Raw genomic sequence first — 25,386 nt, forward strand, 5'->3', positions numbered from 1 at the left:
CGCCGCACGGCTCCTGTTCCGGTGTCAGAGGGCCCGCCCTCCCCGCTCCTCAGTCTTTGCGGACAAGAAAGGGGCTGTGTGAGACGCAGGGAAGGAGGCACACCCGGGGGTGGCGCAGTGAGGAGGGGGCGCGACGGCCAGGAGGCTGGTGGAGCGACACCCAGGCAGGAGAGGGGGAAGAACTCTCTCCCTTTCTGAACCCCCTTTTCCTTGAGAGACGAGTTGGGGGAGTCCTCCACGCATTACCCACTCGGGCCGCAAAAACTCCCTTCTTTAGCCCTCTGCCCCCGCCCTTGCTTATAAGCCTTTGAGACCGCAGAAGGGACCTTGTTGTGGAACGGGACGGCCAAGGTACGCTGCCCCTTTAAGTTCCAGACGCCCCGCGTACTTCCCCTACTTCTTCTTCTTGAGATAGCCCCGCCCATCTACCCGAAGCCGGAGCCAATTGGCTCCCTCTGGAAAAATCTGTGGGCAGGGTAAAGGTGAGCGGGCGCAGGCGTAGTGAAATTCTCAGAGCCCTTTAGGCCCCGCCCATTCCCTCCGAGTCGGTGAGGAGGGGAAAAGAAGGCGCAGGCGCAACTGCCCTCCCAGGACCCCAGCGGAACCCACGCCCTCCCCTAAGTCTTAAAGGGCCAGAGGCAGCACTTACTGCCCGGGCCCTTCCTCACTTTTGGGGGGCGGGGGTGCGCAAGCGCAGTGGGGGAGCTCTGGGGTGGGGGTAGCGGTCGAGTATCAAGTTGCTTTCTGTCCCGGCAGAGGAAGCCAGATCGCTGAGGGTCCGGTCTCCAGTTTGCCTCCTGCTATATCCATTGGAAGAGAAAAGTTTGTGACTTGGGCCCCCAAGTTTTGAGAGAACTGGGCTTTCGGCGCGGGGGGACAGAGGAGGCTCGTGGGGAGGTGAGTGGACCTCCTGGATCGATTTAGGAGGCTCGGGTGGGACTGGGACCAATCGCACCTTTGTTGAGCCGTCACTCATTATGGGGAGCCCCTCCCAACAACCATAGCGAATATTTATTGAGCTCCACGCTTAGCAGATCCCCCGATAAGCTATGTACAGACATAATTCGTTGTAGGTCTCATTTCCACATTTTGTCGTGGAGGAAACTGAGGCTCAAAGGTTAAGTCACGTGCCCAAGTTCTCACGGCCTATAAATTGAGGGATTCGAACCCAGACAGCTGACCCCAGAGCCCCGGCTTTTTTTTCCTTTCTTTTTTTTTTTTTTTTTTTTTTTTGAGACAGAGTCTTGCTCTGTCGCCCCAGCTACAGTGCAGTGGTGCGATCTCTGCTCACCGCAACCTCCACCTCCCGAGTTCAAGCAATTCTGCCTCAGCCTCCCGAGTAGCTGGGATCACAGGCGCCCGCCACCGCGCTTGGCTAATTTTTGTATTTTTAGTACAGATGGGGTTTCACCATGGTGGCCAGCCTGGTCTCGAACTCCTGACCTCATGATCCACCCTCCTCGGCCTCCCAAAGTGCTGGGATTACAGCCGTGAGCCACTGTGCCCTGCCAGAGCCCAGGCTCTTAAACATTGCACATTGTAGGTGCTTTGGTGGTGGGGAATGGTAGACCTCGAAAGCAGTTGGACTCTGGTTTTCATTTCCCTGGCTCTGGTAATTAACCTGGACCTCAGTTTACCCACCCTCACAGTGCAAGGCTAGGTATGCAGTCGGTGCCTACTTTATTATAACTGTTGATAATTATTGTCATCTCTCCCCTTCTGACACCTCCGCCAGCTTTCCCCATGGAGCTTACCCAGCCTGCAGAAGACCTCATCCAGACCCAGCAGACCCCTGCCTCAGAACTTGGGGACCCTGAAGACCCCGGAGAGGAGGCTGCAGATGGCTCAGACACTGTGGTCCTCAGTCTCTTTCCCTGCACCCCTGAGCCTGTGAATCCTGAACCGGATGCCAGTGTTTCCTCTCCACAGGGTAGGATACCTCCTCTGGGATTAGCCCTCTGGGATTCCATGATGATGGAATGTCAGGCCTCACATGGAACCTGTGTCTTGCTTTCGTTTTTGTTTTGTTTTGTTTTGTTGTTTTTTGAGATGGAGTTTTGCTCTTGTTGCCCATGCTGGAGTGCAATGGCGTGATCTCAGCTCACTGCAACCTCTGCCTCCTGGGTTCAACTGATTCTCCTGTCTCAGCCTCCTGAGTAGCTGGGATTACAGGCTTCCGCCACTACGCCCAGCTAATTTTTTGGGTATTTTTAGTAGAGACGGGGTTTCACCATGTTGGCCAGGCTGGTCTTGAACTCCTGACCTCAGGTGATCCGCCCACCTCGGCCTCCCAAAGTGCTGGGATTACAGGCATGAGCCACTGTGCCCGGCCTGTTTTTGTTTTTTGATACAGGGTCTCGCTCTGTTACTAAGGCTGGAGTGCAGTGATGCAATCATAGTTCACTGCAGCCTCAACTTCCTGGGCTGAAGCCATCACTCAGCCTCCCTAGGAGCTGGGACTATAGGCATGCAACCACACCTGGCTAATTTTTTTTTTTTTTTTGGGAGGCTGGTCTCCACCTCCTGGGCTCAAGTGATCTGCAGGCCTCCACTTCCGAAAGTGCTGGGATTACAGGTGTGAGCCACAGTGCCCGGCCCTTCACACCTGTTTTTAACTCTTTGAGGGTAGATAGCTAGGAGTGAAATTACTGGGTCAGATGGTCATCCTGTTTTACTTACTGAGGAACTGAGGATTTATTTTTGATTGGAGTCCAAGAATATGCCTAATTTAGTTCCCTCCCACGACCTTTGTTGCTGCCACTCCTGTCTGGAATGCTCTTCCTACACTTCTTCCTATAGCTGACTCCCCTCCCCTCCCTCCCTTCCCGCCTCCGTTTTTTTTTTCTTTCTTTCTTTCTTTTTTTGAGATGGAGTCTCGCTCTGTCGCCCAGGCTGGAGTGCATGGAGTGCAGTGGCGCAATCTTGGCTCACTGCAAGCTCCACCTCCCGTGTTCACGCCATTCTCCTGCTTCAGCCTCCCGAGTAGCTGGGACTACAGTCCGTTTTTTTTTTTTTTTTTAAATGGAGGTTTGCTTTTGTTGCCCAGGCTCCCTCCCCTCCCCTCGCCTCCCCTCCCCTCCTTTCCCCTCTCCCCACTCTCGAGACGCCTCCTGGATCCCCTCTCTTCTTGAGACAGAATCTTGCTCTGTTGTCCAGGGTGGAGTGCAGTGGCACTATCTTGACTCACTGCAACTCCCTCTCCTGGGTTAAGGTGATTCTCCTGCCTCAGCCTCCCAAGTAGCTGGCATGCACCACCACATCCAGCTAATTTTTGTGTTTTTAGTAGAGATGGAGTTTTGCCATGTTGCCCAGGCTGGTCTCGAACTCCTGACCTCAGGTGATTGCCCGCCTCGGCCTCCCAAAGTGCTGGGATTACAGGCGTGAGCCACCGCGCCCAGTCCCTGTAGCGGATTTCTTTGACTTCCTAAGATCTCGGTGGTGTCACCTTGGGGAGGCCCTCCTGTTACCACCTTGTCTAAGAAGGACTTATTCCTTGTGCTCCGTTCTTTTCATCCTCTTCTACCTGCTTTTAAATTTTTTTTTTTTTTTTTTTTTTTGAGATGGAGTCTCACTCTTGTTGCCCAGGCTGGAGTGCAGTGGCGTGATCTCTCTCACTGCAACCTCCACCTCCTGGATTCAAGCGATTCTCCTGCCTCAGCCTCCCGAGTAGCTGGGATTACAGGCATCTGCCACCATGCATGGCTAATTTTGTGTTTTTAGTAGAGGTGGAATTTCACCATGTTAGTCAGGCTGGTCTCAAACTCCTGACCTCAGGTGATCCACCCACCTCAGCCTCCCAAAGTGCTGGGATTACAGGCATGAGCCACTGTGCCCGGCCTTAAGTTCTTTTGAACACTTATTTCAACTTGAAGTTTTTTATTATTTCTCTATGTCTGATGCACCTACTTGACCCCCGACTCCCTAGAGGGCAAAAACTATGTCTTGTTTGCTCAGAACATTGCCAGGCAGGGAGGAGAAAGATGCACCCTGGGTATTCAAGAGAGTAGAGTGAGTGAATGGTGGAGTCCCAGGCACTGCCTTTGGTAGCTCCAAGACCCCAGGGAGATACCGAAGGCAGTAGCATGGTAGCTCATGCCTGTAATCCCAGCACTTTGGGAGGCCACGGCAGGAGAATTGCTTGAGCCCAGGAGTTTGAGACCAGCCTGGGCGACAGAGCAAGACTCCATCTCTACCAATATATATATATTTTTAATTTGCTGGGTATGGTGGCACCTGTAGTTTCAGCTGCTCAGGAGGCTGAGGTGGGAGGTTGGCTTGAGCCCAGGAGGTTGAGGCTGAAGTGAACTGTGATCACACCACCGCACTCCAGCCTGGACAACAGAGCAAGACTCTGTCTCAAAAAAAAAAAAAACCCCAATAGCTGGGTGTGGTGGCTCATGCCTATAATCCCAGCACTTTGGGAGGCTGAGGCAGGTGGATGATTTGAGGTCAGGAGTTTGAAATTAGCCTGGCCAACATAGCGAAACCCCGTCTCTACTTAAAATACAAAAATTAGCCAGGTGTGGTGGTGGGCGCCTATGATCCCAGCTACTCGGGAGGCTGAGGCACAAGAATCGCTTGAACCCAGGAGGCAGAGGTTGCAGTGAGCCGAGATCACGCCACTGTACTCCAGCCTGGGGGACAGACGGAGACTCCATCTCAAACAACAACAGCAACAAAAAAAAACAGATGGGCTTCTGTCCTGAAGCCTCAGAGACATCTACTGAGGGGAAACTGACGCCTGTTGTCTGTTTCCCAGCAGGCAGCTCCCTGAAGCACTCCACCACTCTCACCAACCGGCAGCGAGGGAACGAGGTGTCAGCTCTGCCGGCCACCCTAGACTGTGAGTGGGCCCACGGTCCCCAACAAGGAGAGGAGTAGGAGGGTGGGAGGGCCTGTGAGGAGCAATCGTGGACAGAGGGTAAACTGAGGCACAGAGAAGCAAGGGGATGAGTGAGGACTCTGCCTCTGTCCTGCCCCAGCCCTGTCCATCCACCAGCTCGCAGCACAGGGGGAGCTGGACCAGCTGAAGGAGCATTTGCGGAAAGGTGCGTGTCCACACACATGTGCTGGCATGTCTGCACCTGGCTGGTGTGTGCATATGGGTGTCCATACCCACTCATGACGTGACCTGTGAGTGTCCACGTGTATGATTGTATCTAACTGTGTGTGTGACCGTGTTCATGTATGTCCATCAACATACGCTCCCCCTCATTCCCCTGTCTAACCCCAGCCCCCCACCTCGTCCCCATTTGGCAGCACTGGGGATAGGGGGCAGGGGTGCAGCCTGGTGGTATTGCCCGCCTCCTCCTGCCAGGTGACAACCTCGTCAACAAGCCAGACGAGCGCGGCTTCACCCCCCTCATCTGGGCCTCCGCCTTTGGAGAGATTGAGACCGTTCGCTTCCTGCTGGAGTGGGTGCGTCCCAGCCCAGCTGGGCAGCTGGGGGGTTCCCGGGGGCCTTAGGGTGGGCTGGGGTTTTGGCTGTGTCTGCTGGCGCCTTGTCTTTGAGATGCGGCTGCTGGCTGGGTGCAGTGGCTCATGCCTGTAATCCCAGCACTTTGGGAGGCCGAGGCGGGTGGATCACTTGAGGTCAGGAGTTCAAGACCAGCCCGGCCAACATGGGTGAAACCCTGTCTCTACTAAAAAAATACAAAAATTAGCCAGGCGTCGTGGTGGGTGCCTGTAATCCCAGGTACTCTGGAGGCTGAGGTGGGAGAACTGTGTGAACCTGGGAGGCGGAGGTAGCAGTGAGCCGAGATTGCGCCACTGCACTCCAGCCTGGGCAACAGAGCAAGACTCTATCTCCAAAAAAAAAAAAAAAGATGCGGCTGCTGTGGGTACCCCAGGATTCCTGGTTATGCCCCAATCCATCCTACCACTGTCCCTTCTTCTCCCTGCAGGGTGCCGACCCCCACATCCTGGCAAAAGAGCGAGAGAGCGCCCTGTCGCTGGCCAGCACAGGCGGCTACACAGACATTGTGGGGCTGCTGCTGGAGCGTGACGTGGACATCAACATCTATGATTGGGTGAGGGACTGCCCATCCCCAGGACCTCTCAGCCTCCTGGCCTTCATTCCTGCCTCAAATGTTCACAGAGTACTTGAAAGGTGCAGGCCTGCTCTAGGTGCCGAGAACACGAGACAGCCCCATTCCCAGCCTCACAGAGCAGAGCTCCCCATGCAGGGAAGGCAGACATGGAAACAGGCAGCTGAGATGCAGTGAACTGCGCTGCGATGGCAGATGCACAGGTGGCTACAAGAGCCCCATGTGGGCAAGGGAAATCAGAGAGGTCTTCCTGGAGGAAGGTGTCTAAGCTTGAGACCCCAGAAAGTGAGATGGGCCCAGTGATGAGCAGGAGGAACCACGTTCAACTGGAGGCCAGAGAGTACAAGGCATTTTGAGAATGAGGAAGAGGTAAACCTTTGGTTTCTCCTGCCCCTACCCACGACAGAATGGAGGGACGCCACTGCTGTACGCTGTGCGCGGGAACCACGTGAAATGCGTTGAGGCCTTGCTGGGTGAGTGGGAGTCGGGAGTGGCCCTGGGGGCCCCAGCACTCCAGCGGGCCCTGCGGGAATCCTGAGGGCAGGGAGACGCCCAAGTGTTGCTTGAAGAGTTCTTGGAGCAGGTAGTCCCTGCCTGCTCTTCTCGGAGGATGGATCAGAGGGGAGGAGGTGGTAGGACCACACGGGAGTCGGGGTCTGGGTTTAGGATCTGGCCAAGAGGCTAAGCACCTCCATCCTCCATGGTTCAGAGACCCTTCAGCCACGTTCTTCAGTGGAGACCAAGATAGCAGAGGTTGGACCCTTGTCAAAGGCCACATGGGCAACGGGCAGACCCACGGCTGCATTGTGGGGAATGAGGGGTGCCATGGGATCTCCCAGGTCCCCAGACCCCATTCTGGACTCCCAGGCCCCACCCTCCAGCGCCCTCCCCTCTCCTTTGCAGCCCGAGGCGCTGACCTCACCACCGAAGCCGACTCTGGCTACACCCCGATGGACCTTGCCGTGGCCCTGGGATACCGGAAAGGTCAGCCTGAGACACACAGAGCAGGGGTGGGGTCCCTTCCATAGGCAGGGTGACCATAAAGGGGTACATGGGACACCCCTTCAGTGGTCATACGCCGGCAGCGAGAGTGTGTTGACAGGTGTTGAGCACTGCTGTGTATCCCGCCTGGGAACATCCCAGTCCTGGCTCCTGGGGCTCCACATGTGCTGGGGTAGGGAGGACAATGGGTGTCAGTGGCTGTGGCCATGATGGGGGACACATAGGCATGAGAGGCCGAAAGAGGGGCCTCTCATCAAAGAGCCCCAAAGTGGCCAACAGAAGTCAGAGAGGCTTCCTGGAGGAAGGTGTCTTAAGGTTGAGACCCCGAGAAGTGAGGTGGGCCCAGCCCTGGGATGGGGAGGTCAGGGAAGGATTCTGGGGGACCTGAAGGGAGGGAGAATGGCATCCAGGTGGGAGGAGTGGCCCCTGCGGAGGCCTGGCAGTGAGGACACCAAGGGGTAGGCGACCAGGCCATAGTGCACAGAGCCACAGAGGCCATCCCTCTCCGTGGCGGGCAGTGGGTTTGAACAGGGGCCATAGGCAGACCCCAGTTTGACTCCATTTTCTCTGTCACAATGGGACCCCAACTTCCCCATCCATAAAATGGGGAGATCCCAATTGAACCGACCCCCTGGGGTCATGGTAGAGATGGGGTGCTTAGGAAATATCCCCCTCCTTCCTTCAGAGTTTTACTGTGTTTGGGACAGAAATCATTCCTCTTCCCTCCTCATGTTTTCGGGGGGTTTGTTTTTTTGTTCGAGGCAGAAAGTCTTGCTCTATCACCCAGGCTGGAATGAAGTGGTGCAGGCACAGCTTACTGCAGCCTCGATCTCCCAGGCTCAAGTGATCCTCCCACCACAGCCTCCCGAGTAGCTGGGACCACAGGCATTCGTCACCATGCCTGGCTAATTTTTTGTTGTTGCTTTTTTTTTTTTTTTTTTTGGACATGGAGTCTCGCGCTGTCACCCAGGCTGGAGTGCAATGGCGCCATCTCGGCTCACTGCAACTTCCACCTCCCAGGTTCAAGCGATTCTCCTGCCTCAGCCTCCTGAGTAGCTGGGACCACAGGTGCACACCATGACGCCCGGCTAATTTTTATATTTTTAGTAGAGACGGGGTTTCACCATGTTGGTCAGGCTGGTCTTGAACTCCTGACCTTGTGATCCGCCTGTGTTGGCCTCCCAAAGTGCTGGGATTACAGGTGTGAGCCACCACGCCTGGCTGTGTTGTTGTTTTTTTAGAAGAGACAGGGTCTCGCTATGTTGCCCAGGCTGGTCTCAAACTCCTGGGCTCAAGTGATCCTTCTTCCCCAGCCTCCTGAGTAGCTGGGACTACAGGCATGTACCACTCTACCCAGCTAATTTTTAAAATCTTTTTTATTTATTTTTTGAGACAGAGTCTCGCTCTGTCACCCAGGCTGGAGTGCAGTGGCACAATCTCGGCTCACTGCAACCTCTGCCTCCCAGGCAAACAATTCTCCTGCCTCAGCCTCCTGAATAGCTGGGATTACAAGTGCCTGCCACCACACCTGGCTAATTTTTTTTTTTTTTTTTTTTTTTTTTTGAGATGGAGTTTCGCTCTTGTTGCCCAGGCTGGAGTGCTATGGCGTGATCTCGGCTCACTGCAACTTCCGCCTCCCAGGTTCAAGCAATTCTCCTGCCTCAGCCTCCCAAGTAGCTGGGATTACAGGCATGCACCACCATGCCCAACTAATTTTTTGCATTTTTAGTAGAGTCAGGGTTTCTCCATGTTGGTCAGGTGATCTCAAACTCCCGACCTCAGGTGATCCACCCGCCTCAGCTTCCCAAAGTGCTGGGATTACAGGCATGAGCCACCACACCCGGCTGCACCTGGCTAATTTTTGTAGTTTTAGTAGAGATGGGGTTTCATCATGTTGGTCAGGCTGGCCTTTCCTGACTTCAAGTGATCCACCTACCTTGGCCTCCCAAAGTGCTAGGATTACAGGTGTGAGCCACCAAGCCCAGCCTAATTTTTAAATTTTTTTGGTAGAGACAGCGTTTTGCTCTGTTGCCCAAGCTGGCCTCAAATTCCTGAGCTCAAGCAGTCCTCCCCACTGGACCTCCCAAAGTGCTGGGATTATAGGTGTGAGCCACCATGCCCAGGCTCATCTTTTCATGAAAGTCACAATTCACACATTTTGCTTGGTAGGAAATATTTTTATATTAATTCTGAAAAGCTACAAAAGTGCATTTTTACAAACTTAGGGGAAGTTGAGGTTCCTGGGGTGAGTCCTCGGTTCTCCCAGCTTTGCTCTGTAATGCAGGTCTCTGCAAGGGTCCCTGTTTGTCCCCTAAGGGGAGAGCGCAGGTTGGCCTGTGCCTCCACCCCACTCCCGATTCAAGCTCACAGCCCACCTTTTCCCTGCCCCATCTCAGTGCAACAGGTGATCGAGAACCACATCCTCAAGCTCTTCCAGAGCAACCTGGTGCCCGCTGACCCTGAGTGAAGGCCGCCTGCCGGGGACTCAGACACTCAGGGAACAAAATGGTCAGCCAGAGCTGGGGAAACCCAGAACTGACTTCAAAGGCAGCTTCTGGACAGGTGGTGGGAGGGGACCCTTCCCAAGAGGAACCAATAAACCTTCTGTGCAGAATGAGGGACTTTGCTGTGCTTCCCGGAGGGCTTCCTGGAGGAGACAGCCCCTAGAGGTCTCACACCTTCTCCCCAAGCACCCGCAGGTGGTAGATGACCACACGGCCAAAAAAGTCAGTGGCATCCTCAAACGTCACCTTCAGCCGGTCCACTTCAGCAGCTGGTATGGGGAAAGTGTGAGCGTGGGCAGTCAAGGGAAACTGGTGATTTCTGGTTTCCCACCCGCAGGCCCCCACCCCTTCCAGACCCAGCTCACACTCCACCGATGTGGGCAACCTGGGGAAGCTGCAGGTCCCTCTAAGCCTCTCACACAGAACAGGTGGTCATCAGCACCATTTTACAGAAAAAGTGGAGTCCTAGAGGTCACGTGTTCAAGATCACACATCAGGGTTCCCATTCGGGTTTGGGTGAGTCCAAAGCTTCCAGAGGCACAGACCACCCACCCCAGAAGCAGGGGCAGGATATCTGAAGCGAGTTGTTGTCCTCAGGGTAGAAATCTACAATCTTGTGGAGAGCCTGAGTGCCCTGTGAACCTTCAGCAGAGAAAGGCAATGAGTGTCTGGGGTGACCCCTGGAACCCCTGCCACCCAGGGCCTTCTAGTACCTTCCAGGCAGCCCCGGCGACTGGAGAAGCCACCCTGAAACTGGATCTGCAGCTGGGAGACACGGATGAGCTGGGGAAACTCCAGCGTCACCCACTGGGAGGGGCCCTGGAAGCAGACAGGGAAACTGAGGCGCAAGCTCACTGCAGGCACAGAGCCCTGCTATGCCTGTCTCATTCACATAGTTCTTGGAATGGAGGGGAAGAAGGAAATTCGGCACATGTTCCTTTCCTGGCCACCCATGAGGGCCCCCTGACGTTCTCAAGGCATGAGATCTGAATCTGAATCACCCTAGAGATGGAGGGTCGAGGGAGGCGCCTCACCTGGTCTGAGTTCCAACATGTCTCCTCATCCTGGTCGAAAAGATGTTTTTTTCCAAACTGCCGAGTGTTGCGATTCAGCACTGAACTCACCCTGGAGGCACCAGGATCAAGGCGAAGAGAGGGGCTGAGACCAGCTCTCAGCTCCGCGGAGGGCCTGACCCCCAGATCTGTCCACTGAGGGCTCGACCCCAGGCTTAGGGCCTCGCCACTGCCTGTCCCCACAGACTCTTACCTGCTCACTGTCTCTGGACAAACCAAAGAGTGGGTCATGTCGGTTCCACAAGACCTCGCAGGGCTTAGGATTGGGCACAGCCTTGGTTCGAATCCCGGCGCCTCCTCAAGCTACAGGGCGGCGCGATCTTGGCTACGCCTTGGCCTGAACGTCCTCACCTGTAACTTGGGACGAGAACCGCCACTCCCTCGCCCACCCCAGTCCTAAATGTCGCCTCGATCAATCCCCTGCCGGAAAATTTGGGAGAGAGGATCAGGGAAACCGCCAATGCCCGGAGGCCAGGCCTTTCACAGGAAACAGATTTCCCGCGGGTTTCGGGGGCGGTGGCTTTTTGTGCGAGGCTGTTTCTCTGCGAATAGCTCTTGGAGCCAAATCTTGGGACCCGGAACCGCGTGGGCTTGGCGCATGCGTGTTGTAATTCAGGCGCCGACCGCGGACGCTCCAGAGGTGGGGTTTGGTTCGACCCCGCCCCTTCATGCTCGCTTCTTAAAGGGCCCGGGTTCGATGATTGAATTTACCTTGGTTCCCTTGAAGCTGTAGGGAAAAGGCTGGCTGCGCGCACGGGGCGCTGTCCCTCGGCGCCCGAAGGTGTAGAGCACTGATTTTGACTGATTTTGGAATCCGAAAGACTTCCTTTTTTTTTTTTTTTTTTTGAGGCGGAGTCTCACTGTCGCCCAGGCTGGAGTGCAGTGGCACGATCTCCGCTCACTGCAAGCTCCGCCCCCTGGGTTCACGCCGTTCTCCTGCCTCAGCCTCCCAAGTAGCTGGGAATACAGGCGCCCGCCACCACGCCCGGCTAATTTTTCGTATATTTAGTAGAGACGGGGTTTCACCGTGTTAGCCAGAATGGTCTTGATCTCCTGACCTCGTGATCCAGCCGCCGGGGCTTCCAAAGTGCTGGGATTACAGGCTTGAGCCACCGCGCCCGGCCTTTTTTTTTTTTTTTTTTTGAAGTGGGGTCTCACTGTCACCCAGGCTGGAGTACAATGGTGGGATCGCGGCTCTCTGCGACCTCTGCCTCCCAGGCTCCAGCAATCCTCCTACCCAGCTTCCCGAATAGTTGGAACTAGTAGGCGCGCGCCACCACGGCAGGCTATTTTGTTTGTTTGTTTGTTTGTTTGTTTTTTGGTAGAGATGAGGTTTCGCCATGTTGCCCAGATTGGTCTCGAACTCCTGGGCTCAAGTGATCCGCCCACCTCAGCCTCCCAAAGTGCTGGGATTACAGGCGTAAGCCACCGCGCCCGGCCAGAGAGACTTCCTATGACAATGTCTTTCTTCCTACTCTAACCTACTCTACCCTAACGGCTACCCTAACCTACTCTAACCTACTCTACCCTAACCACTAAATGCAGCCTGGGAATCCCCGAACTTCACTGCCTCCCGGAGGCCAAAGGCAGAGTTGTGGAAAAGGCCACGATGTTGGGAGTATCTGAAGTCCTCATCAACCCTTTTTGTTCTTGTTGGGACAGAGGAGCCCTGGCCTCCAAGTTTGTCTTTCCCAGAAAATGCTGCTGGGACGTCAAGGAAGGCTTCTTGGAGGAGGGAGCATGCGAGGTCGGGTGTTTTTTGTTGTTTCTGTTTTGTTTTGTTTCGAGACGGAGCCTCACTTTGTTGCCCAGGCTGGAGTGCAGTGGTGTGATCTCAGCTCACTGCAACCTCCGCCTCCCAGGTTCAAGTGATTCCCCTGCCTCAGCCTCCTGAGTAGCTGTGACTACAGGTGCGCACCACTATGCCTGGCTAATTTTTGTATTTTTAGTAGAGATGGGGTTTCGCTATCTTGGCCAGGCTGGTCTCGAACTCCTAACCTCGTGATCTGCCCGCCTTGGCCTCCCAAAGTGCTGGGATTACAGGTGTGAGCCACCGCACCCAGGCTGTGAGGTGGGTTTTGAAGCATGAACAGGAGTTTGCCAAACAAAGCCTCAGATACCAAGCTGAAGATTTGGTTCACTGATTCACTAGACACCTCCTGCAAGCTCTACTGTCACACTGTCATGTCCAGCCTTCTGCTGGATGATGCTGGGGACAGCAAGAGGCCTCAGCTCCAGGCCTGTCCCAGAGGAGCCCCTGATCTGGGCAAGACAGAGGTAGACATAGACACTCCTAGCCCCAAGGGAGAGATGGGGCCGGAGGAGCAGGGGCTCTACCTGGAGGAAGGGCTTCCTGGGAAAGGGGATGTTAGAACTGCACCTTAATAGGGGGTCAGGCGCCAGGAATTCACAAGGGTGAGAAAATCTGGAGTGGGGAGGGTGTCCCAGGCAGGGAGCTTAGCATAAGCCAAGGCCTAGTTGGGTGAAAGACCATGAATTTGAATAAAATATGTGGAGCCACATCCTGCTGGGCCCGGAGCAGTCATGGAAGGTGTTGGAGAAAGGGCAGGACACCATCCGTTCTGCATGAATGGAGGGTTCCAAGACAGAGCAGCCACTGGCAAGAGGCTGTTGTTCCTGGCTTTAGCTGAATGGTCTGGCAGCCAGCCCCTTTCTTCAAGGGCTGGAGGAATGGTCCTTCCGGCATCCTACTAGTGTCTGCTCAAACCCACCCCAGGCAGCAGGGGTGGGGGCTGGCGGGGAAACTGGGTCACCAGCAGAAGGCCTGTCTCTTCAGCCCCTGCCTGCCAGGGCTTTCCGCATTTAGACAGAGTCTGGTGCCATCCAAACCCAACTTCGCTGGTCTCAGGGCTGGGGCTGGAGGTGACAGGAAACTGTGCCCCCAACCTCACCCCCGGAAGGAAGTTAGAAAGAGCAAGGACACTGGAGAGCCCAGATCTGGTTCAAATCCTGGCTGGACCACTCATTGGCTGTGTGACCTTAGAAAAGCACCTTGACCTCTCTGAGCCTCAGTTTCTCATCTGTGAAATGGGGGGAATTCTATTAACGGCACTGTTGGAGGACTCTCTGGGTTCTTCAGGTTGACACATAGTAACAGTAGCTGACTTTCACTGAGAGTCCACCGTGTGTCTGACTTGAAGCCATGTTCTGTCGCCACCCATTGGCTCGTTAAACCTGCTGTGGCTGGTCCCTGTCATTCCCATTTTATAGCTGAGGACACATCAACTTAGCCAAGTCCCCCCAGTGAGGATATGCATGGCTCCAGGGCTCTCCACACCACTCCTGGCTTTGGCATGCGGCCTCCTTGCCCACGGGTATGAGGCCAGCTCCATACCCTCTTCCCGCCTCCTCACCCCACTGGCGCCTGGGCATGAAAGAGCCTCCTGTTTCTCCAGGGAATTAGCAGCTCTGGGCTCCCAGCAGGGCAGCCAAAAGTGGTCCATTCATTCGCTTGAGTGAGGAAAGACTAAGAGCTCCCACCCCCACCCCAGGGAATGGGGCAGGGAGGGCTCTAGAAGGTCCAAAAGCAGCTCCTCTGGTTCACTTGGGGAAACTGAGGCACAGAAAAGCAAAGTCATTTGGCCAAGATCACCAAGGGGAACTGGGATGCAAACCCCAGTCTCACTCTGGAGTTCCCCTAACTGGGCTTGGGTTAGCATTTTTCTGGGGAGAAATTGGAGGTTTAGAGAGAGTCAGGGACTTGCTGGCAGTCACACAGCAAGTTTGGGTCAGTGGGGACTCTCTGCCTTGGTGGTGTCTGGGGAGGCAGCCCCACCCATGCAGAAAACAGGTCCTTCTGTCCATGATTTCATTATCCTGGAACAAGGCAGGGAATGGCCCTCAGATAGCTTCAAGCCTCAGTTTCCCCACTGGGAGATGGATGTAACCTTTTCCCTAAGGTCTTAGCCTGGGGCATCTGCAAGGGAGGGTTTGATGGGATTCCCTGAGCCTGGAGACCCCCATCCGGCAGGTCTGGGTCTGATTTATCTACCGGAGCCCATCAGGACCCCTCTCCGAGGAGACAGATGTTCACACAGTAGCAGCTGGGGTTATGAGTCCTGGTGCAGTGCAAGCCTGGGTCCCACTGGAGGTGACAGTGGGAGTGGGAGGGGTGTCTGGGTGTGAAAGGATTCAGGTGGGTGTGTATGGGAGCACCAGGAGCTGCGTGTGTGTGGCTGTTGTAACAGTGGCTGGGAGGGCTACAGATCTCGGGGTTGGTGGCATTGGTGGTGTTGGTGTGAACATGGTTGTGTGCTCACTACCTGTGGGTGTGTCTGTGACTAGAAACCTGGTTGGGTGTGAGCAATGTGGGGCCAACGTAGGCTCTTTGCTGCTGGCAGGAAGGCGAAGGTGTTGTGGGTGTGAGCAGCAGTGGGTGTGTTTGCATGTGGAGGGACACTGGTGCAGCCCAGCTCATAGCTTTGCCTTCGGTTGTGGAGCAAGTGTGACTTGTGTGTGGCCCAGGCCAGGTATGGTTGTGTGTGGCCTGACCAGGTTGATTGTGTATGTGATTGTGTGTGGCCCATTGTGGCTGTGCATGGCTGGGTGTGGTTGTGCATGGCTGGGTGTGGTTGTGTACGGCTGGGTGTAGTTGTGCATGGCTGGATGTCGTTGTACATGGCTGAGTGTGGTTGTGTATGGCTGGGTGTGGTTGTGCATGGCTGGGTGTGGTTGTACATGGCTGAGTGTGGTTGTGTATGGCTGGGTGTGGTTGTGCACGACCAAGTGTGATTGTGTGTGGCTGAGTGTGATTGTATATGGCCAGGTTTGCCTGTGCATGGTTGGTGAAACCTGTGTGTGGCCCGGTGTGGTTGTGCATGACTGGGTGTGGTTGTGTATGGCTGAGTGTGGTTGTATATGGCTGGGTGTGGTTGTGTATGGCTGAGTGTGGTTTTATATGGCTGGGTGTGGTTGTGTATGGCTGGATGTGGTTGTCATTGGCTGGGTGTGGTTGTGCATGGCTGGGTGTAGTTGTGCATGGCTGGGTGTGGCGTGTATGGCTGGGTGTGGTTGTGCATGGCTGGGTGTGGTTGTGTATGGCTGGGTGTGGTGTGTATGGCTGGGTGTGGTTGTACATGACCAGGTATGATTGTGTATGGCTGGGTGTCATTGTGTATGGTCAGGTTTGGTCATGTGTGGTGGGTGAGACCTGTGTGTGGCCAGGTGAGGTTGCATGTGAGCCACCTGTGCTGTTAGTGTGGCTGGGGTGTGGCTGGGGTGTGACTGTGTGTGTCAGTGGTTGTTGGTGGCATTGTGTGTGACTTACCCATGTGTCACCTTGGGCATGTTCAGAGGCACTTTGGAGGCACTGTCCACCCCTGAGACCCAGCTCTCTTGGAGGGTCCAGCCTCCCTCCCCACCTCTGCTCTGGTCTGCCAGTACCATCCCCCACCCCTCCCCCACTGGCAGCAGCCCCTGGCCCAGGGCCCCAGTGGGGTGGTGGGGACAGAGAAGGCACTCAGGGCTGGGGAGGGGTGCCCAATCCCAGCTCAGGCCTATAAATAGCTCTTTGAGCCCAGTAGATTCCCAGGCAAGGTTGCCTCATTCAAGCCCCCGGCAACAGCCCGCCCCTGGGCCCCAGGCCAGCCCCTCTAAGCTCAGCCCTGGCACCAGCGAGGAGCCGGGGGGTGGGGGCAAGGGGTGGGGAGGAGTGGAGAAGCGGGGGAAGCAGAAGGATGAGGATAGGTGGGGTTGGGGCTCAGCTCTGCGCCCACAGACCTTGGCTTCCACCTGGTCTCTACTCACTCTGTACATCCTCGGGCAGGTGATCCTAGCTCCTTAAGCCTCAGTTTCCCCAGCACCTGTAAAATAAACAGCAGTCCCTGCCTGTGTGTTTACTTCCCATTTCATTCTCCAAGCAACCGGTAACGTAGGGACATTCATTATCCCCCATTTTATTTATTTATTTATTTAATTTTTTCCCAAGATGGAATCTCACTCAGTCACCCAGGCTGGAATGCAGTGGTGCCATCTTGGCTCACTGCAACCTCCACCTCCTGGGTTCAAGCGATTGTCCTACCTCAGCCTCCTGAGTAGCTGGGATTACAGGTGTGCACCACCCCACCCAGCTAATTTTGAATTTTAGTAGAGACGGGATTTCACCATGTTGGCCAGGCTGGTCTCAAATTCTGACCTCATGATCCATCTGCCTTGGCCTCCCAAAGTGCTGAGATTACAGCCTTGAGCCACCGCGCCCACCCTCCCCCCATTTTATTTTATTCATTTTTGAAATAGGGTCTCACTGTGTCACCCAGACCAGAGTACAGTGATGCAATCTTGACTCACTGCAGCTTTAATCTCCTGGGCTCCAGCGATCCTTCCCCCTCAGCCTCCCGAGTAGCCGGGACCACAGATGTGTGCCACCATGTCCTGCTAACTTTTAAGTTATTTTTTGTAGAGATGGGGGTCTCACTGTGTTGCTCAGGCTGGTCTTGAACTCCTGGGCTCAAGTGATCCTCCTGCCTCTGACTCCCAAAGTGCTGGGATTACAGGCATGAGCCACCGGCACCTGGACTATCCCCATTTCAGATGGGGAAACTGAGACACAGAAAGATGAGATGGCTCACTCAGAGTCACATTGTTACGAATGGCAGGGAGGGGGTTTGAACCCCAGACTTGTGGAGGCTGAGCTACTCGGTTCTCACGCACGTCACGCAGCTGTTCTCAGCGTCTTTCCCAGTGTGAGCCACAGCCAACCCCCCAGCACGCTCCAGCCTCACCGACTAGTCATTGCATGCTGTTTGGGTGCTGCTGACACAGCTGTCACCTGCAGACACTCACATCAGCTGGGATCCTTGACCTCCATCTCTCCTCTGTGACACAGAGTCAAACAGTCAGTGCAGCTTCCCGCTGTATCATCTTGGACCCCAGGGCTACCCCTTGCTCACCTGGGGTCCCCCCTTATCCCTCATTCATTCCTACCCTTTCTTTGATAATCTTTTTTTTTTTTTTTGAGATGGAATCTTGCTCTGACACCCAGGCTGGAGTGCAGTGGCACAGTCTCGGTTCACTGCACGCTCCGCCTCCCAGGTTCAAGTGATTCTCCTGCCTCAGCCTCCTGAGTATCTGGGATTATAGGTGAACACCACCATGCCTGGCTAATTTTTGTATTTTTAGTACAGACAGGGTTTCACCATGTTGGCTGGGCTGGGCTGGTCTCAAACTCCTGACCTTAGGTGATCTGCCTGCTTCAGCCTCCCAAAGTGTTGGGATTACAGGCATGAGCCACGGTGCTTGGCCTCCTTTCTTCTTCTTTTTTCTTTTTTTGATGGAGTCTCACTCTGTTGCCCAGGCTGGAATGCAGTGGCCCAATTTCGGCTCACTGCAACTTGCGCCTCCAGGGTTCAAGCGATTCTCCTGCCTCAGCCTCCCGAGTAGCTGGGATTACAGGCGTCCGCCACCACACCCTAATTTTGATTTATTAGAGATGGGGTTTCACCATGTTGGCTAGGCTGGTCTCGAACTCCTGACCTCAAATGATCTGTCCTCTTGGCCTCCCAAAGCGCTGGGATTATGGGCGTGAGCCACGGCACCTGGCCAAGGCCTCCTTTCTTTGATAACCTTGTGGAAGCTATCTTGTCCCTCATTTGCCTATCCTCCTACCAGATGGACACGCACCCTCAGAGATGCTAAACACACACTCACAGATATAGGACCCAGGGTGGAGCGCTGCGAGCCCATTCTCAGCACAGAAACACCACGACCATAGGAAGGAAGGCAGGGGCAAAGCCTGCCCTCTCTGGGCACATTTCCCTCCTCATGGCTTTTTTTTTTTTTTTTTTTTTTTTGAGACGGAGTCTCACTCTGTCACTCAGGCTGGAGTGCAATGGCATGGTCTCAGCTCACTGCAACCTCTGCCTCCTGGGTTCAAGCGATTCTCCTGCCTCAGCCTCCTGAGCAGCTGGGATTACAGGTGTCTGCCAACACGCCTGGCTAATTTTTGTATTTTTAATAGGGAAAGGGTTTCACCATGTTGGCCAGGCTGGTCTTAAACTCCTGACCTCAGGTGATCCACCCGCCTTGGCCTCCCAAAGTGCTGGGATTACAGGTGTGAGCCACCGAACCCAGCCCTCATTACCATATTTTTAATGGTGGTCAAATACAGATAACATAAAACTCACCATCTTAAAATGTGTAATTCAAGGCCATGCGCGGTGGCTCATGCCTGTAATCCCAGCATTTTGGGATGCTGAGGCGGGCGGATCATTTGAGGCCAGGAGATCGAGACCAGCCTAGCTGACATGGTGAAACCACATCTCTACTAAAAATACAAAAATTAACTGGGTGTGGTGGCAGGTGCCTGTAATCCCAGCTATTCAGGAGGCTGAGGCAGGAGAATCGCTTGAACCTGGGAGGTGGAGGTTGCAGTGAGCCAACATCGTGCCACTGTACTCCAGCCTGGATGACGGAGCAAGACTCCGTCTGAAAAAAAAAAAAAAAGATTGGGGTCTCATGTCTCATGGCAGGGACATGCCTATGCCTCTGCATAAAGCAAAATTATTCATGTGTCAACAGCAGTACCCAGTCCATAGAGTGTGCTACATAAATGCTGATCAGACAAAGGTGAATGAATGAATGATACAATCTGGCTGTAGTTGCTGGAAACAGCTCGGGGGTGTCACACACCTGGACTCCCACCCTGCGTGCCTCTTACCAGCTGTGTGAACAAGGAGTCTCCCCGTCTCGTCCGTGCCTCAGTTTCCTCTCTGTAAATGGGGTAAACCAGTAATTGTAGCCAAAACTGCTTTGAACGTGAGTCCTGGAGAATCAGGCAGGGCGAGGTTCGAATCCCAGCTCTGCCTCTGTGCGTGACCTTGGGAAGCGACTTTGCCTCCTTGGGGCTCAGTTTCCCCACCTGTAAAATGGGACGGCCTCATCCTGGGGCATAATGGGGACGTTTAACGCGGTTCCTGGGGCAAAGAGAATGGGAGGAGAATCGATGCCATCTTCTCCTGGGTGCGGTGAGTGTCCAAAAAATGGGCGGGGTGGGGATTTTAGGCAGGGGAGCCCCCTCCCTCGCGCAGCCAGAGGCCTCGGGCTGGCGGGGGCGCATGCGCAGAGAGCCCTCGCGGCCCCTTTATAAGCACTGAGGCGGCGCTGGGGCCAGCGGAGCGCAGGGCGCAGGGGCTGGACCCGGCGCGGAGCTGGCTGAGTCGGAGCGCAGCGTCCTTTGTGCCCGGCGGCCGCCCCGGGATGCGTCCGAGCTAGGAGCCAGGTGGGGGATCCGTGAGGGGGCCGTGTTGCGGGAGAAGACTTCGGGATTAGAGACAGAGCTCAGGATTAGGGAGAGGACCTGAGACCAGGGAGAAGTCCCCAGAATGGGGAGGGGGCTGAAGCGGGGGAGGGGAGCCCTAGGTTGAGGAGGGAGCGCGAACTGGGAGGGGGCTTGGGAATGCTAGGTGAACAGACATTTGGGGAGGAAGGTTGTCCGCGGAATCCGGAGACTACCCCCCGGTGGGGAGGGGGCCGGGCTGGGGGTGGGTCTCAGGGTTGAGGAGGGAGCAATGGGAAACAGGGCTAGGGGAGGGGCCCCCCGAGTTTGGAGGGAAGAAGAGGACACCCAGATGCCGAATGGGGGACTCTGGAACAGGGCACCCCCGTATCTCAGCCGAGACACCCCAGGATTTTAAGTAGGGATTCCCAATTTGCGGTTGAATGGAGGATTCCGGGCCGGACTGCAGTGGGGAGGGGGCCCCCAGATCACCCTGTGCCCAATGGAAGGGTATCTGCGCTGAGAGCGAACGGCCATGGGGAAGGGGCTCCCTGCCATCTCCCTGTCCTTTTGGGTCAGGTCCGGTCACCACGTTCTGACTCAGGGAGGAGGTCCTGGGGGTCCCCATCCCAACGTGGTTCCCCGTTATTCCCTTAGACCTTGGGTTGAGGTGTTGTCCCTTATCCCAGGGAACACACTGGGTGTCCCAGGTGAATGTTGGGTGGGGGTCCCCTAGACCCCCCAGCTATGGATCCCCAGGACCTGTGAGGGATACCAGCTCAGAGGGGGGGCTGTCCCCCAGCACCTTCACAGCCTCCCACGTCCTTACAGCATGACACAGACCCCTACCCCCACCCCCTTTAGTTCCACCTGTCCATATGGACACATGTGGAAGCGCTGGCTTGGTTTGGGGGCACAGGGGCTGGGAAGTAAGGGGCTGGGAAGTAAGGGCCCTGTCTGGGCAGGAGAGACCCCCATCCCTACGCGTGGGGCTTTGTTCCTCTCAGGCAGCATCAATGAGAAACAGCCAGGCCAGGGAGAGGGTTGGCTCTGGGCCCCAGCGGGGGACGTGGGGGCAGGGCAGGCAGGAAGGGGTGGGTGCACTGTGGGACCCCAGAACCCAGCCGTCGCAATAGCTGATGGACATTCTGAAATCAAGTTCCCCCTCAAGGATATGGGGGTTTTGTGTGTGTGTCCACCCCAGACAGGCAGGGAGGGGGAGTATGCCCAGGGGTTCTAGGGTCCCCTGTGAGTCTGATGTGACTGTGGTTGTGTCTTTGTCAGAAAACTTGTGCCGAGGGCCACATCACCATGTGGCAAAATGATGGGTGTCCATCGGTCACCAAGGCCACAATTATCCATCTCGGTTTGTGCCAGGGGCTGGCATCGCCGTGTGAGTGAGGAGCTATGTCTGATGCTGTTCCGTTCATCAAGGGGTTTATGTGGGGGGGGGGGGGCCCGAGACTGTGGGTGTGTGTCTTTGTGCAGAAGACACGCCGCCTGTCTTGTAAGTGCCCATATTGTCTCTCTTTGTTAATGTCACTGTGAATCTGTGTGAGTGTGTGTTTCCCCAGGGTCTGTGTCTGGGGTGCGTGGCTGTGTGTGTCCCGCTTGTGTATCTGGAGGGGCCAAGGGTTCTTTCCATGCGGTTGGCAGTGTGCACCCTTGGCACGGGGGTGTGGGACGTGGTCTGTGTTCAGAGTTGGGGCGCTAACAGGGAAAGCTTGAGCAGGGGTTGAAATCCCCAAGGGGAAGCCCGGGATGATGACTGAGCCCATCTCCCTTTCTCCTCCACGGAGTTCCACATTCACACCCATGCACACTAATACACCCTGACTCTCAGGTCAGAAACACACACATGTGCGCACAGCCCCCTGCTGAGGGTCACTCAGACTCACACACATCCACAGATCACACTAGGTCCCATGTGCTCCACCCGGTGCACGGAGCTGCTGCAGGCTCACACACACAACATGCACCCACCACATGGCACAACCGCCTTCACACCCTTGCCAGGACACAACACCCCGGACACACACCCAGTCACAAACACTCACAAATGCCCATTGGCAAACTCACCTTCACTCAGTGCTAACGGAGACTTGAGGTGGGGGTGAAGTGAAGGAGGGGACACACACACACTTACACACACACACTCACACACACTCTCTCACACACACACATTCACATGGATCCGAGCTGCCCCTCCTCCAGCACCCCGCAGGCCCCTGCTTGCATATGCATGAGGCTTGTACATTATTCATGAGGGCACGGGCCCCAGACAGCTGTGTAAATGCTCATCTCTGGCCGCCCTGGGGAGGAGGTATTTTAAGAGAAGGGTGTGGGTGTGTGAGGGTGCGAGTGGAAGGGAGTGGGAGGGTGTGTGTGGGGGGTGTGCACCTGAAACTGTGTCTGTCACCATGTTGGGCAACCTCAGTATATTTTTAGCGTATACATGAGGCTTTGTGTCTAAAGAGCTGTTTTTAAATTTAACATTTCTAGGACTTTGCAAGTCTTAGGTCATTTCATCCTCACAGTAGCTGCAGGTGGTACTTGCTGGATAATCTCCATTTTACAGGTGGGGAAACTGAGGCACAGAGAGATTGAAGCAGCTTGTCCCGGATTAGAAGCAGAGCTATCTGGATGTAGTCTGACCTGTTAACGGGGTGTGTGTGTGTGTGTGTGTGTGTGTGTGTGTGTGTGAGAGAGAGAGAGAAAGAGAATTCTCTGGCCTTGTCCTCTCGTAAGGCCCTGCTGGGGGCAGGTGCAACCCGGAGTCCTGTCTCTCTCTAATACCTGGCCAGGCCTGGAACAGCCATGAGGGGACCCCACACTTGCTCAGGGTTCCAAGGGGAAGAAATGAGAACAGCCTGGTGAAGGCAGAGGTTGCTGAGGTTTACAAGTTGGTAGTTGGGAGCACTGGTCCAGGGTCTGGCTTTGACCTCTACCCTGCTGTGCAGCCTGAGGCAAACCTCTAGCCCTCTCTGGTCCCTGAGGCATCGTGTTAGCAGGCAGGAGGCAGGGGTGGACTAGGTGGGCTTTGCCGCTGCGTTGCCGCCTCAGAGTTCAGCACCACGGACAGGTCCCAGGCCGGCCTCCCAGCAGGGGACTCTGGGAGCTGGGAAGGAGAACTGGGGAAAGGGACAGCTGTCACATACAGCCTCCCCTTCTGGACTCCGTTCACACCCCTTCCTCAGGGATAATTTCTTATGGGGGCGGGGAGCAAGGATTGGGTTTGCAGATGATGTTCTAATTTTCCATCTGCGCCCACCTCCTGAGCCCTGGTGACCGGGGTTCGCAGGAGTGGGAGGTTTTGGGGAGGGACCACCTCCCCAGGATTCCTAGTCTCTGGAACAATGTGAAGTCAGGAAATGCACTGCTGTGTCCCAACGACTGGCATGGGCTTTGCTCACAGTAGGCGCTTAATAATTGTCCACTTTATCCCTATGGGTCCTAGCCCCTATAGGGAAATGGACCCACAACTGAAGTTTCTCTGTGGGCCTAAGAAGTATCTTTGTTGAGCTGTGTGAAGTCAGGAGGAGGATGGGTGGGCAGGGGTGAGCCCCTTCCTCCAGCTGGGAGTTGGCGGCTCCTCCAAAATCCCAGAAACCAAGAATAGAATCTTGGTGACAACCAAATCCTGGAATTGAAGCTGCGAATCGTGTCAGCCAGCAAACCCAGATTAAAGGATGGCTTAGAGGCCAGCCTGCTGCCTGGACTGAGGATGCTGGGAGGACTGGGACAGACTGCTGCCCTCTAGGAGCCGCCAGTCTGATGGAGGAGGCTGACTTGAAAAATGGTATTTCAGTCTTGGCTGTGTTAAGGTCGGTAATAATAATAGCAGCAGCTAAAATGTACCCCTTACTGCATGAGACAGTTCTAAGCATTTTATATGTATTGACTCATCCATTCCTTTCAACTACCTGATGTTATCCCCATCTGACCCACAAAGAAAGTAAGGCACAGAGAAGGTAAGCAACTTGCCCAAGATCACACAAAAGGAACAGTGAGCCAATTCCAGATTTGATTCACTACCAGCACCCAGGCTTCTGACCACAGACTTCATTGCTTGGATTGTTTTTTGTTGTTGTGTTGTGTTTTGTTTTGTTTTCAGTCTCGCGCTGTCACCCAGGCTGGAGTGTGGTGGTGGAATCATAGCTCACTGCAGCCTTGAACTCCTGGGCTCAAGCAATCCTCCCACCTCAGCCTCCTGCATAGCTGGGACCACAGGTGTGCGCCACCAAGCCCAGATAATTTTTTTTTTTTTTGAGACAGAGTCTCACCCTGTCGCCCAGGCTGGAGTGCAGTGGCGTGATCTCGGCTCACTGCAACCTCCACCTCCCGGGTTCAAGTAATTCTCCTGCCTCAGCCTCCTGAGTAGCTGGGATTACAGGCGCCTGCCACCACGCCCAGCTAATTTTTGTATTTTTAGTAGAGACGGGGTTTCACCATGTTGGTAAGGCTGGTCTCGAACCCCTGACCTCGTGATCCACCCTCCTCGGCCTCCCAAAGTGCTAGGATTACAGGCGTGAGCCACCACGCCTGGCTGCTAATTTTTTAAATAGAGGTAAGATCTCACTATGTTGCCCAGGCTGGTCTCAAGCTTCTGGCCTCAAGCAGTCCTCCCACCTCAGCCTCCCAAAGTGCTGGAACTATAGGCGTGAGCCACCGCGTCCAGCCACTGCTATTCTGAGGTCAAGTGGCCCTGGGTTCGAATTCTGGCTCAGCCCTTTGCTGGCTCCTTCTGTGACCTAGAATAACACACTGGTCTCTCTGAGCCCTGGTTTCCTGATCTGTAGAGTGGGGGAGTTTGGTCCTGCAATGCTGAATATCTGGGAGGGTTGGGCTGTGGCTCACCCCTCCCTCCCTCTCCATTTTGTTCCAGATCCAGGATGGGGGCCCCGTTTGTCTGGGCCTTGGGCCTTTTGATGCTGCAGATGCTGCTCTTTGTGGCTGGGGAACAGGGTGAGTTGGTTTGTGGGGAGGGAGAGATTGGGGTCTAGGGGATGGACAAGATGGGGCAGCTTTTGAATTCCAGAGCCTTCTCCTGCTGGTCTCCTGGCATGGGCTAGAGAATAAAATGAGAATAGATTTTAAAAGGTCTTTGAACAGTCAAAAGCGAACAGGATACCTAAGAGGTTATTTTTAGTCATTGTCAGCAGAAGCTGGAGATTCCCGCCTCTCATCGTTTTGCTCAGATGAACTGGAGAGAAAGAAAGAAAGAAATGAGAATAGTGCAGAGATTGATTAGTGATGTCTGCCAAGGGTGGAGCGATGGAAATAAAGGTCTGTGTCCCTCTACTGGTGGTCAAGAGCCCAGGTTTTAGAAATCCCTCACAGATTTGGTCTGTGACCTTAGGCAAGTATAATTATCTCTCTGAACTTCAGTTTCCTCAACTCCCCCCAAAGAGAATGAGACATTGCTACTCTGCAGATGGTTATGAAAATCAAATGAGCTGATTGCTATAAAGTGCCTGTTACAAAGATGGTACTCTGCAAACACCATTTCCTTTTCATTAGCTGTCTTT

The 25,386-nt window shown here is 54.9% G+C and overlaps 3 protein-coding genes across 24 annotated transcripts in view, besides 7 other annotated features; 2 read left to right on the forward strand and 1 right to left on the reverse strand.

Annotated features, from left to right (window-relative positions):
- RFXANK (regulatory factor X associated ankyrin containing protein) lies at positions 55-9,663 on the forward strand. Of its 21 annotated transcripts, none has more exons than XM_047439590.1 (11): positions 55-482; positions 757-897; positions 1,736-1,930; positions 4,763-4,843; positions 4,983-5,048; positions 5,318-5,418; positions 5,904-6,029; positions 6,454-6,520; positions 6,951-7,031; positions 8,616-8,690; positions 9,446-9,663. In XM_047439590.1, exons 3-11 carry the CDS (start codon positions 1,744-1,746, stop codon positions 9,514-9,516), a joined length of 855 nt encoding a protein of 284 aa, XP_047295546.1. In that variant the 5' UTR covers positions 55-482; positions 757-897; positions 1,736-1,743; the 3' UTR covers positions 9,517-9,663. The 21 variants fall into 21 exon arrangements, with proteins under 21 accessions (XP_047295546.1, XP_047295542.1, XP_047295545.1 ...); XM_047439586.1 differs by having other exon boundaries at positions 55-351; positions 4,760-4,843; XM_047439589.1 differs by having other exon boundaries at positions 55-351.
- Positions 832-921: an enhancer, noted in NCBI's record as "active region_14342". NCBI's record gives its function as "activates an Ori minimal core promoter by ATAC-STARR-seq in GM12878 lymphoblastoid cells {active_cell/tissue: GM12878}" and the evidence as "EXISTENCE:reporter gene assay evidence [ECO:0000049][PMID:35858748]".
- Positions 2,893-3,044: a silencer, noted in NCBI's record as "fragment chr19:19305905-19306056 (GRCh37/hg19 assembly coordinates)". NCBI's record gives its function as "represses an EF-1alpha promoter that drives an FKBP-Casp9 reporter gene in an ReSE screen in K562 erythroleukemia cells {active_cell/tissue: K562}" and the evidence as "EXISTENCE:reporter gene assay evidence [ECO:0000049][PMID:32094911]".
- Positions 9,206-11,211, reverse strand: NR2C2AP (nuclear receptor 2C2 associated protein). 2 transcript variants are annotated; one of them, NM_001300945.2, is made up of 6 exons: positions 10,820-11,211; positions 10,588-10,678; positions 10,267-10,372; positions 10,128-10,195; positions 9,728-9,838; positions 9,206-9,360 (listed from the first exon to the last, which is right to left on the reverse strand). In NM_001300945.2, the coding sequence occupies exons 1-6, from the start codon at positions 10,855-10,857 to the stop codon at positions 9,271-9,273; spliced, it is 504 nt and encodes a 167-aa protein (NP_001287874.1). In that variant the 5' UTR covers positions 10,858-11,211; the 3' UTR covers positions 9,206-9,270. The 2 variants fall into 2 exon arrangements, with proteins under 2 accessions (NP_001287874.1, NP_795361.1); NM_176880.6 differs by having other exon boundaries at positions 9,206-9,838.
- Positions 10,187-10,453: a silencer, noted in NCBI's record as "fragment chr19:19313199-19313465 (GRCh37/hg19 assembly coordinates)". NCBI's record gives its function as "represses an EF-1alpha promoter that drives an FKBP-Casp9 reporter gene in an ReSE screen in phorbol 12-myristate 13-acetate-treated (for megakaryocytic differentiation) K562 erythroleukemia cells {active_cell/tissue: K562(+PMA)}" and the evidence as "EXISTENCE:reporter gene assay evidence [ECO:0000049][PMID:32094911]".
- Positions 11,117-11,411: an enhancer, noted in NCBI's record as "tiled region #11890; HepG2 Activating DNase unmatched - State 1:Tss, and K562 Activating DNase matched - State 1:Tss". NCBI's record gives its function as "activates a minimal TATA promoter and a strong SV40 promoter by Sharpr-MPRA in HepG2 and K562 cells {active_cell/tissue: HepG2 | K562}" and the evidence as "EXISTENCE:reporter gene assay evidence [ECO:0000049][PMID:27701403]".
- Positions 19,557-19,851: an enhancer, noted in NCBI's record as "tiled region #3423; HepG2 Activating DNase matched - State 10:DNaseD, and K562 Activating non-DNase unmatched - State 20:ReprD". NCBI's record gives its function as "activates a minimal TATA promoter and a strong SV40 promoter by Sharpr-MPRA in HepG2 and K562 cells {active_cell/tissue: HepG2 | K562}" and the evidence as "EXISTENCE:reporter gene assay evidence [ECO:0000049][PMID:27701403]".
- Positions 19,755-25,386, forward strand: part of NCAN (neurocan) — a 40,276-nt gene continuing 34,644 nt past the window's right edge. The window contains exons 1-2 of the mRNA NM_004386.3: positions 19,755-19,861; positions 24,744-24,823. Of these exons, the coding sequence (NP_004377.2) occupies positions 24,751-24,823 (73 nt within the window). The 5' untranslated portion in view covers positions 19,755-19,861; positions 24,744-24,750. The remainder of the gene's footprint in view (positions 19,862-24,743; positions 24,824-25,386) is intronic.
- Positions 21,404-21,904: an enhancer, noted in NCBI's record as "OCT4-H3K4me1 hESC enhancer chr19:19324416-19324916 (GRCh37/hg19 assembly coordinates)". NCBI's record gives its function as "activates a minimal SCP1, AML or CMV promoter by ChIP-STARR-seq in naive H9 embryonic stem cells {active_cell/tissue: H9 hESC(naive)}" and the evidence as "EXISTENCE:reporter gene assay evidence [ECO:0000049][PMID:30033119]".
- Positions 21,905-22,405: an enhancer, noted in NCBI's record as "OCT4-H3K4me1 hESC enhancer chr19:19324917-19325417 (GRCh37/hg19 assembly coordinates)". NCBI's record gives its function as "activates a minimal SCP1, AML or CMV promoter by ChIP-STARR-seq in naive H9 embryonic stem cells {active_cell/tissue: H9 hESC(naive)}" and the evidence as "EXISTENCE:reporter gene assay evidence [ECO:0000049][PMID:30033119]".

This window comes from Homo sapiens, chromosome 19 (genome assembly GCF_000001405.40).
Source record: "Homo sapiens chromosome 19, GRCh38.p14 Primary Assembly".
Classification (NCBI taxonomy): domain Eukaryota; kingdom Metazoa; phylum Chordata; class Mammalia; order Primates; family Hominidae; genus Homo; species Homo sapiens.